Source organism: Homo sapiens, chromosome 22 (assembly GCF_000001405.40).
Source record: "Homo sapiens chromosome 22, GRCh38.p14 Primary Assembly".
NCBI classification, from domain to species: Eukaryota; Metazoa; Chordata; class Mammalia; order Primates; family Hominidae; genus Homo; species Homo sapiens.
The window spans coordinates 28,158,620-28,173,283 of record NC_000022.11 but is presented as its reverse complement, the minus strand read 5'-3'; the positions used below and the strand labels follow the sequence as shown (position 1 = coordinate 28,173,283).

At 41.6% G+C, this 14,664-nt stretch overlaps 1 protein-coding gene across 11 annotated transcripts in view; it reads left to right on the top strand.

Moving 5' to 3' along the window:
* TTC28 (tetratricopeptide repeat domain 28) overlaps positions 1-14,664 on the top strand; it is a 701,827-nt gene that overhangs the window by 506,557 nt on the left and 180,606 nt on the right. For all 11 annotated transcript variants that reach the window (NM_001393403.1, NM_001145418.2, XM_047441214.1 and 8 more), the window contains one exon: positions 9,685-10,192. In NM_001393403.1, coding sequence (NP_001380332.1) covers positions 9,685-10,192 — 508 coding nt within the window. The remainder of the gene's footprint in view (positions 1-9,684; positions 10,193-14,664) is intronic.

Genomic DNA, 14,664 nt, shown 5'->3' with positions numbered 1-14,664 from the left:
CCTGAAACCACGTTTCAGATCTAAGCTTATTCTACAGGAACAGGAACAAAGACAAGTGATTAATTTGTGATTCACTTAGCTGATAAGTATCATCACATGTTATTTGCCCAGGGGCTGTAAAATACCGGACTTTATTTCCTGTAGCAACTGACAGCAATATAGGTGTTTGGTCATAATGATTGATGTTTTCAGTTGCCATTACTAGCTTCTGCTTGGTAGCAGAACTCAGCCTAGCCGTCTTGCAATCATAAAACATCCATCCACACCTTAGTGATGCATTCACAGAGCACTCTATAGTTTACTGAAGGCACTCACATGCACTGCTTCATCTGATGCCATCTCAGCCCTGTGAAGTATGTACAGTATTGTCATTAGCAACATTTTACAAATAAAGAAAACAGGAGTGAAGAAGTAAAATACTTATTAGTGTTACATAGCCAGGGCCTCTGATGCTAAATCCTATTCCATTCTTATAGTATATAGCAAGCTGCCTCTCTAGTTTCAGAGGCAATGATGTGTGCTTCATAAATTACATCCTTTCTAGAGATACGGACTTCCAGGACACCCATCACGGAGAGTCCCAGCCTGACAGCACTGCCTGGTAACTGGAGGATGCCAGGAAAGAGCCAATGTAATAGTCTTTCCCTCTTTCTCCCACACCCCAGAGGGGAAATGCCCAAATATTCCCTTCCTTATGTTCAGAGAGCTTTAGTAAGCAGCTCCTATGTCTCCCTGGCATTTAGAGAAATGAAGAACCAGAAGCAGAAGATGCCAGGGCTATCATTTGGAGTTGCCATAAACCAGAAGTTCCTGAGAACAGCGACGCCTGGGGTGTTGTGCCTGCCCTGAGACTTATAAATCCATCCTATGCAGTGTTCAAAGGCTCATTGCCTCCAACCAGATCTACTATTTGGAATTATCTAGTGAATTATTTATGGTTTACATATTTGACAGGGGCTCATGGCTGGGTTTGAAAATTCTCTTTCCTGGCTTGCTGCTTGGGCCTAAAAATGTCTGGAAAACCAAGGCTCAGCGAAGTTAAGTTGCTAAAGCTCTCTGAGCTAGTAAAGGGCAGTGCAGTTCTGAACAAAGTGTATCTGATTCTAAGCTACACTAGCTCCATAGTCAAAGAGCCTGCATGTTTCGCTTTGAGGGTAACAAAGATTTCTGGGTGGGAGTGGGTTGTGTCCTCCCTAGCCAGGTGGTGGAGAAGAACCCACAAAGAATAAGGTGGGGAGGGCCAACTACTGAAGTAGAGGAAAGAGGCTGAGTCTCTAGGCCTGCAGCAAAGGAGGAAGAAAAGATTTGGGGGATAGGGTATGGGTGGAGGTGGAAGCAGTAGAAAGTTCCTTGTACAATGTGCTGACATGAAGTCCTAACCTCAGCCCCAAAGAGGCTCACAAAGTAGGAACCTGAGGCCAGTACACAACCAAGTGACATGCTCTTTGTTGACTTCATTGCTGCTTCTGCCAGAAGCACACTGCTGCAGCATTGTGACTTGTGTGGAATTGTTTCTGCTCTCTACCACTCAGAAAAAAAGAAACAGAAAAGTAAATTTCTAAGTATTTATTTCCTCTCTATTTTCTAAGTCTTTTTGTTAGAACATCTGTGAAATGATAAAAGCAACTTAAAACAATATGGGGCTTTTTTTTTTTTTTTTTGCAAATATGCCATTTGCAAGCACCGTTTAAAAAAGTTTCCTCAGTCATTTTGATCAAGAACTGCTATTTCACAGGCAAAGAAAATAGGGTAGAAAATCACTCATATCTATAAAATATTAATAAAAGTGTTCTGAAGTGCACAGACATAGAACACATTTCGTAAAGAAATGCCCTTACTCCAGGAGGGACAGCATCCCCTCATTGTTATTCCCTAGCCAGGAGGCCCTTAGAAAAATTACTTGCCCATGTGTAACAGAGTACACCCTTTGTTCTGGCAGGATCACATGCTCACTTACTAAGAGGGAACTTCATGAAGAAAGGCAGCCACATGGCTCTAGCCATAGGCCGGTAATGAAGGAAAGAAAGGGTAGGCAAGCTTCCAACTTTTAGGATAAAAAGAAGGGCAGAAAAATCCCAGCATAACTTCCCTTTTATATCTGCAAATAAATTGGAAACCAAAGACTAGAATATAAGACTGTTAAGTATTTGTTAAGATTCTAGAAACCATGTAACATCTCCTGTATTTTTGTTGTCCCTTTGTGGTTCAGTACACCAGCATAGAGTCAGTTTCATTAAAACCTTTAAGACAAAAAGGGTTTGCATGCTTTTCCTTGGCCAAAATAAGAAAAAAAAAAAAAAAAAGAATGAGTGGCAAGCAATGTGAGAGGCCTAGGAAGATGGCATCTCTCTGCACAGAGAGGCTGGGGTTAGAAGCGCTTCTAGGCAGGAAAAGAAATGGTTGAAGAGCTGGGTGAGCCTGAGAGGGGGTGGTGAGGCTTAATGGAGACCACCCCACTCAGAGTACAGTACAGGTTGTAACCCACCCATTTTTTTCCTCTGAGACTCATCCAAATCTAAGCCCTCCAGAGTAACCAACACTGATGAAGTTGCATTGAAGGAACAAAGATAAGAGAGCAGGACCCTCTCCAGTGAGCCTTCGGTCACAGAATCATCAGTCATCATGGTAAACATCTCTCTTACCATTAAGATATCCATTTACCGTGGAAGAAGACAAGAAGAGAGATATTCCCAGGAGTGCAAAAAGCCAAGCATGGATTTCTCCTGTGAATTTCCTGTGGTCTGTTATATGTAGTAATTAATTTCGATTTTCTTTTTTTCTTTTTTTTTTTTTTGGAGACGGAGTCTCGCTCTGTCACCCGGGCTGGAGTGCAGTGGTGTGATCTTGGCTCACTGCAAGCTCTGCCTCCTGGGTTCACGCCATTCTCCTGCCTCAGCCTCCCGAGTAGGTGGGACTACAGGTGCCCGCAACCACGCCCAGCTAATTTTTTTTGTATTTTTAATAGAGACGGGGTTTCACCGTGTTAGCCAGGATGGTCTCGACCTCCTGACCTCGTGATCCGCCTGCCTCAGCCTTCCAAAGTGCTGGGATTACAGGTGTGAGCCACCGCACCCGGCCTAATTTCCATTTTCTTATACATTTTCCTATATGACAGAGGTTAATAGGTATTAACAGAGATGTAATATCATAATTAATGTTAGAAATGTCAATAAGTCCTTAAAATGACATATGTTATACAACTTGTTTCTAGGAGATGAGGTATAGAAAGTTACTGATTAAAGTACCATTGTTTTTTATTAGGAACTTGCTGTTTGGATGTGTTCTTTATCAATTCTGCGTAGGTCTGTGGAAAACTGATAGAAGTACGATTAGCAACTGGATTGGATAATTACAAGCAACCTGCAAAATTTTTTTTTTAAGAGTATGATGTGCTTCCTGTTTTTATTTTAAAATTCCCCAATTTAATCAGGTTCTTTATTTTATTTTATTTTATTTTATTATTATTATACTTTAAGTTTTAGGGTACATGTGCACAATGTGCAGGTTCCTTACATATGTATACATGTGCCATGTTGGTGTGCTGCACCCATTAACTCGTCATTTAGCATTAGGTATATCTCCCAATGCTATCCCTCCCCGCTCCCCACAACCCACAACAGTCCCTGGTGTGTGATGTTCCCCTTCCTGTGTCCATGTGTTCTGATTGTTCAGTTCCCACCTATGAGTGAGAACATGTGGTGTTTGGTTTTTTGTCCTTGCGATAGTTTGCTGAGAATGCTGGTTTCCAGCTTCATCCATGTCCCTACAAAGGACATGACTCATCCTTTTTTATGGCTGCATAGTATTCCATGGTGTATATGTGCCACATTTTCTTAATCCAGTCTATCATTGTTGGACATTTGGGTTGGTTCCAAGTCTTTGCTATTGTGAGTAGTGCCACAATAAACATGTGTGCATGTGTCTTTATAGCAGCATGATTTATAATCCTTTGGGTATATACCCAGTAATCGGATGGCTGGGTCAAATGGTATTTCTAGTTCTAGATCCCTGAGGAATCACCACACCGACTTCCACAATGGTTGAACTAGTTTACAGTCCCACCAACAGTGTAAAAGTGTTCCTATTTCTCCACATCCTCTCCAGCACCTGTTGTTTCCTGACTTTTTAATGATCGCCATTCTAACTGGTGTGCGATGGTGTATCATTGTGGTTTTGATTTGCATTTCTCTGATGGCCAGTAATGATGAGCATTTTTTCATGTGTTTTTTGGCTGCATAAATGTCTTCTTTTGAGAAGTGTCTGTTCATGTCCTTCGCCCACTTTTTGATGGGATTGTTTGTTTTTTTCTTGTAAATTTGTTGGAGTTCATTGTAGACTCTGGATATTAGCCCTTTGTCAAATGAGTAGGTTGCAAAAATTTTCTCCCATTCTGTAGGGTGCCTGTTCACTCTGATGGTAGTTTCTTTTGCTGTGCAGAAGCTCTTTAGTTTAATTAGATCCCATTTGTCAATTTTGGCTTTTGTTGCCATTGCTTTTGGTGTTTTAGACACGAAGTCCTTGGCCATGCCTATGTCCTGAATGGTATTGCCTAGGTTTTCTTCTAGGGTTTTTATGGTTATAGGTCTAACATTTAAGTCTTTAATCCATCTTGAATTAATTTTTGTATAAGGTGTAAGGAAGGGATCCAGTTTCAGCTTTCTACATATGGCTAGCCAGTTTTCCCAGCACCATTTATTAAATAGGGAATCCTTTCCCCATTTCTTGTTTTTGTCAGGTTTGTCAAAGATCAGATGGTTGTAGATATGCGGCATTATTTCTGAGGGCTCTGTTCTGTTCCATTGGTCTATATCTCTGTTTTGGTACCAGTACCATGCTGTTTTGGTTACTGTAGCCTTGTAGTATAGTTTGAAGTCAGGTAGCGTGATGCCTCCAGCTTTGCTCTTTTGGCTTAAGATTGACTTGGCAATGCGGGCTCTTTTTTGGTTCCATATGAACTTTAAAGTAGTTTTTTCCAATTCTGTGAAGAAAGTCTGTGGTAGCTTGATGGGGATGGCCTTGAATCTATAAATTACCTTGGGCAGTATGGCCATTTTCACGATATTGATTCTTCCTATCCATGAGCATGGAATGTTCTTGCATTTGGTTGTGCCCTCTTTTGTTTCATTGAGCAGTGGTTTGTAGTTCTCCTTGAAGAGGTCCTTCACATCCCTTGTAAGTTGAATTCCTAGATATTTTATTCTCTTTGAAGTAATTGTGAATGGGAGTTCACTCATGATTTGGCTCTCTGTTTGTCTGTTTTTGGTGTATAGGAATGCTTGTGATTTTTGCACATTGATTTTGTATTCTGAGACTTTGCTGAAGTTCCTTATCAGCTTAAGAAGATTTGAGGCTGAGATGATGGGGTTTTCTAGATATACAATCATGTCATCTGCAAACAGGGACAATTTGACTTCCTCTTTTCCTAATTGAATACCCTTTATTTCCTTCTCCTGCCTGATTGCCCTGGCCAGAACTTCCAACACTGTGTTGAATAGGAGTGGTGAGAGAGGGCATCCCTGTCTTGTGCCAGTTTTCAAAGGGAATGCTTCCAGTTTTTGGCCATTCAGTATGATATTGGCTGTGGGTTTGCCATAGATAGCTCTTACTATTTTGAGATACTTCCCATCAGTACCTAATTTATAGAGAGATTTTAGCATGAAGCATTGTTGAATTTTGTCAAAGGCCTTTTCTGCATCTATTGAGATAATCATGTGGTTTTTTCTTTGGTTCTGTTTATATGATGGCTTACGTTTATTGATTTGTGTATGTTGAACCAGCCTTGCATCGCAGAGATGAAGTCCACGTGATCGTGGTGTATAAGCTTTTTGATATGCTGCTGGATTCGGTTTGCCAGTATTTTATTGAGGATTTTTGCATCAATGTTCATCAGGGATATTGGTCTAAAATTCTCTTTTTGTTGTATCTCTGCCAGGCTTTGGTATCAGGATAATGCTGGCCTCATAAGATGAGTTAGGGAGGATTCCCTCTTTTTCTATTGATTGGAATGGTTTCAGAAGGAATGGTACCAGCTCCTCCTTATACCTCTGGTAGAATTTGGCTGTGAATCCATCTGGTCCTGGACCTTTTCTTGGCTGGTAAGCTATTAATTATTGCCTCAATTTGAGAGCCTGTTATTGGTCTTTGCAGAGATTCAACTTCTTCCTGGTTTAGTCTTGGGCGGGTGTATGTGTCGAGGAATTTATCCATTTCTTCTAGATTTTCTAGTTTTTTTGCGTAGAGGTGTTTATAGTATTCTCTGATGGTAGTTTGTATTTCTGTGGAATCGGTGGTCATATCCCCTTTGTCGTTTTTTATTGCATCTATTTGATTCTTCTCTCTTTTCTTCTTTATTAGTCTTTCTAGCAGTCCATCAATTTTGTTGATCTTTTCAAAAACCAGCTCCTGGATTCATTGATGTTTTGAAGGGTTTTTTGTGTCTCTATCTCCTTCAGTTCTGCTCTGATCTTAGTTATTTCTTGCCTTCTGCTAGCTTTTGAATGTGTTTGCTCTTGCTTCTCTAGTTCTTCTAATTGTGATGTTAGGGTATCAATTTTAGATCTTTCCTGCTTTCTCTTGTGGGCATTTAGTGCTATAAATTTCCCTCTTCACACTGCTTTAAATGTGTCCCAGAGATTCTGGCATGTTGTGTCTTTGTTCTCATTGGCTTCAAAAAACATCTTTATTTCTGCCTTCATTTCGTTATGTACCCAGTAGTCATTCAGGAGCAGGTTGTTTAGTTTCCATGTAGTTGAGCGGTTTTGAGTGAATTTCTTAATCCTGAGTTCTAGTTTGATTGCACTGTGATCTGACAGAGTTTGTTATAATTTGTGTTCTTTTACATTTGCTGAGGAGTGCTTTACTTCCAACCATGTGGTCAATTTTGGAATAGGTGTGGTGTGGTGCTGAGAAGAATGTATATTCTGTTGATTTGGGGTGGAGAGTTCTGTAGATGTCTGTTAGGTCCGCTTGGTGCAGAGCTGAGTTCAATTCCTGGATATCCTTGTTAACTTTCTGTCTCGTTGATCTGTCTAATGTTGACAGTGGGGTTTAAAGTCTCCCATTATTATTGAGTGGGAGTCAAAGTCTCTTTGTAGGCCACTAAGGGCTTGCTTTATGAATCTGGGTGCTCCTGTATTGGGTGCATATGTATTTAGGATAGCTCTTCTTGTTGAATTGATCCCTTTACCATTAAGTAGTGGCCTTCTTTGTCTCTTTTGATCTTTGTTGGTTTAAAGTCTGTTTTACCCGAGACTAGGATTGCAACCCCTGCCTTTTTTTGTTTTCCATTTGCTTGGTAGATCTTCCTCCGTCCCTTTATTTTGAGCCTATGTGTGTCTCTGCATGTGAGATGGGTTTCCTGAATACAGCACACTGATGGGTCTTGACTCTTTATCCAATTTGCCAGTCTGTGTCTTTTAATTGGAGCATTTAGCCCATTTACATTTAAGGTTCATATTGTTATGTGTGAATTTGATCCTGTCATTATGATGCTAGCTGGTTATTTTGCTGGTTAGTTGATGCAGTTTCTTCCTAGCCTGGATGGTCTTTGCAATTTGGCATGTTTTTGCAGTGGCTGGTACCAGTTGTTCCTTTCCATATTTAGTGCTTCCTTCAGGAGCTCTTTTAGGGCAGGCCTGGTGGTGACAAAATCTGTCAACATTTACTTGTCTGTAAAGGATTTTATTTCTCCTTCACTTATGAAGCTTAGTTTGGCTGGATATGAAATTCTGGGTTGAAAATTCTTTTCTTTAAGAATGTTGAATATTGGCCCCTACTCTCTTCTGGCTTGTAGAGTTTCTGTCCTGAGATCAGCTGTTAGTCTGATGGGCTTCCCTTTGTGGGTAACCCGACCTTTCTCTCTGGCTGCTCTTAACATTTTTTCCTTCATTTCAACTTTGGTGAATCTGACAATTATGTGTCTTGGCGTTGCTCTTCTCGAGGAGTATCTTTGTGGTGTTCTCTGTATTTCCTGAATTTGAATGTTGGCCTGCCTTGCTAGATTGGAGAAGTTCTCCTGGATAATACCCTGCAGAGTGTTTTCCAACTTGGTTCCATTCTCCCCATGACTTTCAGGTACACCAATGAGATGTAGATTTGGTCTTTTCACATAGTCCCATATTTCTTGGAGGCTTTGTTCATTTCTTTTTATTCTTTTTTCTCTAAACTTCTCTTCTCACTTCATTTCATTCATTTCGTCTTCCATCACTGATACCCTTTCTTCCAGTTGATCGCATCAGCTACTGAGGCTTGTGCATTCATCACGTAGTTCTCATGCCATGGTTTTCAGCTCCATCAGGTCCTTTAAGGACTTCTCTGCATTGGTTATTCTAGTTAGCCATTTGTCTAGTTTTTTTTCAAGGTTTTTAACTTCTTTGCCATGGGTTCGAACTTCCTCCTTTAGCTCAGAGTAGTTTGATCATCTGAAGCCTTCTTCTCTCAACTCGTCATTGATCATTTTAAGCCTTCTTCTCTCAACTTGTCAAAGTCGTTCTCCATTCAGCTTTGTTCCATTGTTGGTGAGGAACTGTGTTCCTTTGGAGGAGAAGAGGCACTCTGATTTTTAGAGTTTCCGGTTTTTCTGCTTTGTATTTTCCCCATCTTTGTGGTTTTATCTACTTTGGTGTTTGATGATGGTGACGTGGAGATGGGTTTTTGTTGTGGATGTCCTTTCTGTTTGTTAGTTTTCCTTCTAACAGTCAGGACCCTCAGCTGCAGGTGTGTTGGAGTTTGCTGGAGGTCCACTCCAGACCCTGTTTGCCTGGGTATCAGCAGCAGTGGCTGTAGAACAGTGGATATTGGTGAACTGCAAATGCTGCTGCCTGATCGTTCCTCTGGAAGTTTTGTCTCAGAGGAGTACCCTGCCATGTGAGGTGTCAGTCCGCCCCTACTGGAGGGTGCCTCCCAGTTAGGCTACTCGGGGTTCAGAGACCCACTTGAGGAGGCAGTCTGCCCATTCTCAGATCTCAGGTTGCGTGCTGGGAGAACCACTACTCTCTTCAAAGCTGTCAGACAGGGACATTTAAGTCTGCAGAGGTTACTGCTGTCTTTTATTTGTCTGTGCCCTGCTCCCAGAGGTGGAGTCTACAGAAGCAGGCAGGCCTCTTTGAACTGTGGTGGGCTCCAGCCAGTTCGAGCTTCCTGGCCACTTTGTTTACCTACTCAAGCCTTGGCAATGATGGGCGCCCCTCCCCCAGCCTCGCTTCCGCCTTGCAGTTTGATCTCAGACTGTTGTGCTAGCAATGAGCAAGGCTCCATGGGCATAGGACCCTCTGAGCCAGGTGCGGGATATAATCTCCTGGTGTGCCGTTTGTTAAGCCCATTGGAAAAGTGCAGTATTAGGGTGGGAGTGACCTGATTTTCCAGGTGCCGTCTGTCACCCCTTTCTTTGACTAGGAAAGGGAATTCCTTGACCCCTTGTGCTTCCCAGGTGAGGCAATGCCTCGCCGTGCTTCAGCTCATGCACGGTGCGCTGCACCCACTGTCCGGCACTCCCCAGTGAGATGAACCCGGTACCTCAGTTGGAAATGCAGAAATCACCCGTCTTCTGCGTCACTCACGCTGGGAGCTGTAGACTAGAGCTGTTCCTATTCGGCCATCTTGCAACCTGTAAAATTTTATCTGCCAAAATATACCAAAACCATTCTGATGTGTTTTCATTTCTCCACTTTATCCTTTTCTCTCCAGGCAGCTTCATCAGCCTTGAGCAGTCTGGGCCACGTGTACACAGCCATTGGAGACTACCCCAATGCACTGGCCAGTCACAAACAGTGTGTTCTTCTTGCCAAGCAATCCAAAGATGAACTTTCTGAAGCCCGAGAACTTGGCAACATGGGAGCTGTGTATATTGCCATGGGTGACTTTGAGAATGCTGTGCAGTGCCATGAGCAGCATCTGAAGATAGCCAAGGACCTGGGGAACAAGCGAGAAGAGGCCCGGGCTTATAGCAACCTGGGCAGTGCCTATCACTACCGGAGGAACTTTGACAAGGCCATGTCTTACCATAACTATGTCCTGGAGCTGGCACAGGAGTTGATGGAGAAGGCTATTGAGATGCGGGCCTATGCTGGACTAGGCCATGCTGCCAGGTGCATGCAGGATTTGGAGAGAGCTAAACAATACCATGAGCAGCAGCTGGGCATTGCTGAGGATCTCAAGGACCGGGCTGCAGAGGGGCGAGCATCCTCCAATCTAGGTAAGAACAGGGTTGCCTGTAAGAGCCCAGGTCAAAGTCATGAGCTGGAAATAGCTGGAGTAGATCACTATCTTTTATAGGAATCTGTGTGTTTATATTTAAAAGAATATCCTTATTGTGTGTGCTCTTTTCTTTTCCTTTTCTTTTTGAGACAGGGTCTTCATCTGTCACTGAGGATGGAGTACACAGGCCAAGGATGGTGTGGCACAACCACACCTCACTGCAGTGATCTTCCCACCTCAGCCTCCCGAGTAGCTGGGACGACAGGCACACGCCAGTACACCTGGCTATTTTTTAAATTTTTTGTAGAGACAGGCGTCTTCTTATGTTGCCCAGGCTGGTCTCGAACTCCTGGGCTCAAGCGATCCTCCCACCTCGGCTTTCCAAAGTGCTACAATTATGGCATAAGCCACCGTACCTGGCCTCTTTCTTTAGATATATTTCCTTGGATCCTGCCTTCTCTAAATCACACAATTCTTCCTGTCATCGTGGTGCTGTAAGGATTAGAATTCTGAGATACTGGAAAAACAAAACATCCCAACCTTTTAATGTATAGAAAGAGAAGAGCAACCAGATTTATCTAATTAGAGAGAAGAGGCATGAAATGATGATATAGGCTATGTTTGGTTTAAATGAAAGAGAAGCTGCTAAGCAGTCATCAGTAGATGAGAACATGAAAGGATTTTTGCTTACAGGGATTTCTTTACTTGGTGAATTAACCCCACAGGAAATGCATTTTTTCCTCAAAATTATGTGTATTCAAAAAATAATATTAATAGTTTTAATGTAAATGCAAAATTATTTTTGTGAAAGATCTATTTAAAGATGATAGATTTACATTCACTGTTTTGATAGTACTTGGTTACAATTAAAACATTCATAATTTGGGGGAATTTATATGTAGTGGTAAGAGACAAGTAATTGGTAACTGGCAATTTTTTAGAAGATATTATCTTATCCCTGTATTCAAACAGATGTGGGTACATAATGAATGGAAGGTGTGTTTGGAAGTATGAGCTAAACTTATCCCTGTGCCTGGCACCACATGGTTTGTTCTTTGCCTATAGGGATTCAGGACGGGGAGAGGACAAAGAGAAGTTGACCTTATTGATATGCTTATCAGATATGAGTAGCAGCAGAATGTAAAACTTAGCCACCTTCCCTCCCTCCTTCCCTCCCTCCCTCCCTCCTTCCTTCCCTTCATCCCTTCCTCCCTTCCTTCCTTCCTCTTTCTTCCTTTCTTAACTTTCTTCCTTCCCCTCCCTCCCTCCTTCCCTCCTTCCCTCCCTCCCTTCCTCCCTTCCTCCATTCCTCTCTTCCTTCCTCCTTTCCTTTCCTGTCCTGTCCTGTCCTGTCCTGTCCTGTCCTCTTTCCTTTCCTCTTTCCCCTCCTCTCCTCTCCTTTCCTTCCTTTTCTTCCTTTTCTTTCTTTCTTTCTTGAGACAGGGTCTCCATCTATTACCTTGGCTGGAGTATAGTGGTGCAATCATGGCTCACTGCAGCCTCAAACTCCTGAGCAAAAGTGATCCTCCCACCTCAGCCTCCCGAGTAGCTAGAACCATAGATGCAGTGCATGCCACCCTGACCAGCTAATTTCTTTCTTTCTTAGTAGAGTCATGGTCTCACTATGTTGCCCAAGCTGGTCTGAAACTCTTGGGCTCAAGCAACCTGCCCATGGTGGGCATCAGCCACCATGCCCAGCTAATTTTCATTTGTTGTTTTGTTGTTGCAGTGAGGCCTTGTTATGTTCCTCAGGCTAGTCTCGAACTCCTGGCCTCAAACGATCCTCCCTCCTTGGCCTCCAGAGTGTTGGGATGACAGGCATGAGCCACTGCACTTGGTGATTCTTTGTTTTTTATATTACAAGCATTTACAGATACAAAATTTTCTCTAAACACTGCTTGACCTGCATCCCATAATTTTTTATGTATTATGTTCACTTTTATTGGGTTTTTAAAATCTTCTGAGTTGATTTGTGATTTCTCTTTGACTCATGAAGTGTTTAATATAAAAATATTTGGGGTTTTTCCCTGACAGAAAATCAGCAGTGATCTCTTCATGGCTGAGTTAGAAGATTTTTGACATTTCTAAATTTCCCTAATCAGTATCAGTAGTTGGCATGCTCTGCTAATTTTTCTGTGAAATTCTCTTCTCTCTAGGTTTCTGTGAAACACCACTGTCCTGATTTTCTTCCTGGCTGCTCCTTCTGTATCTTCTGCATTGGCTTTTGATGCTCCCTTCAAAAAACAAACAATTTTTAAAAGTTACAAAAGTGGCACTTAGTTTTGTAAAAAATTCTTAACATATAAAAATGTATAAAATAGAAAAAGGAGGCTCACCCCCTCACATTAATATCTTCCCTTGTCCCACTCCTCAGTGTCAACTACTGTTAATAATTTGGTTATAATCTTTCCAGACCTTTTTACTATATACATAAACACATGTCAGTGTAATCATATATGTATATATATACATGTGTGTATAAATTGTGTTCCCTTTTCAAATCTTGGATTGTAACATACATACTTTTCTGAAGCTGCCTTTTTTACTCTGCCTCCTCTCCTAGGCTTCCCTGTATCTCATTATTCAGATATCCTACATTATTTTAATGGCTCCTTTCCATTGTATTGCCACTTGTTAAATGTGGGAATTGTCATATTTTGTTCCTTGATTCTTTTCTGTTATTTCTTTGTATATGTCCTTTTGTCATTTTTACCCCCAACCTTTTTAAAAAAATTTCTGTGGGTACATAGTAGGTACATATATTTGTGGGGTACTTGAGATATTTTGATACAGGCATGCAATGTGAAATAATCATATCATGGAGAATGGGGTATCCATCCCACAGGCATTTATTCTTTGTGTTACAAACAATCCAATTACACTTTTTAGTTATTTTCAAATGTACAATTAAGTTTCCATTGACTATAGTTATCCGGTTGTGCTATCAAATAGTAGGTCTTCTTCATCCTTTCTATCTTTTGATACCCATTAGCCATTCCCACCTCTCCCTGCAGTGCCCCCACTACCCTTCCCAGCCTCTGGTAACCATCCTTCTATTATTTATGTCCATGACTTCAATTGTTTTGATTTTTAGATCCCACAAATAAGTGAGAACATGCAATGTTTGTCTGATTGTGCTTGGCTTATTTCACTTGACATAATGACCATCAATATTGTTGCAGATGACAGGATCTCATTCTTTTTCTATGGCTGAATAGTACTCCATTGTGTATATGTACCACATTTTCTTTATCTGTTCATCTGTTGATGGACACTTACATTGCTTCCAAAGCTTAGCTATTGTGAACAATGCTGCAAAAAATAGAAGTACAGATATCTCTTCGACATACTGATTTCCTTTCTTGTGGGTATATATCCAGCAATGGGATTGCTGAATCATATGGTAGCTCTATTTTTTTTTTTTTTTTTTTGAGACAGAGTCTCACTTTGTCACCCAGGCTGGAATGCAGTGGCATGATCTCAGTTCACTGCAACCTCTGCCTCCTGGGTTCCAGCGATTTTCCTGCCTTAGCCTCCCGGGTAGCTGGGACTACAGTAGGCTCACGCCACCACGCCCAGCTAATTTTTGTAGTTTTTTAGTAGAGATGGGGTTTCAGCATATTGCCCAGGCTGGTATCGAACTCCTGACCTTGTGATCTGCCTGCCTCGGCCTCCCAGAGTGCTGGGATTACAGGCATGAGCCACCATGCCCGGCCGGTAGCTCTATTTTTAGTTTTTTTTGATTAACCTCCGAACCCTTCTCCATAGTGGTTGTACTAATTTACACTCCCACCAACAGTGTGCTAGGGTTCCCTTTTCTCCACATCCTTGCCAGCATTTGTTATTGCCTGTCCTTTGGATATAAGCCACTTTAGCTGGAGTGAGATGATATCTCATTGTAGTTTTGGTTTGCATTTCTGTGGTGATCAGATCTTATGCCTGTTTGCCATTTATGTGTCTTCTTTTGAGAAATGTCTATTCAAATCTTTTGCCCATTTTTAAATCAGATTATTAGACTTTTTTCCTGTAGATTGTTTGAGTGCCTTATATATTCTGGTTATTAATCCCTTGTCATATGGGTAGTTCGCAAATATTTTCTCCCATTCTGTGGGTTGTCTCTTCACTTTGTTGATGGTATCCTTTGCTGTTCAAAAACCTTTTAACTTGATATGATCCCACTTGTCCATTTTTGCTTTTGTTGCCTGTGCTCATGGGGTATTGCTCAAGAAATTTTTGCCCAGACCAATATCCTGGAGATTTTCTCCAATGTTTTCTTATAGTACTTTCATAGTTTGAAGTCATAGATTTAAAGTCTTTAATCAATTTTGATGTGATTTTTAGATACGACAAGGGATAGGGGTCTAGTTTCATTCTTCTGCATATGGATATCCAGTTTTCCCAGCACCATTTATTGAAGAGACTGTCTTTTCTCAGTGTATGTTCTTGGCACCTTTGTCAAAAATGAGTTCA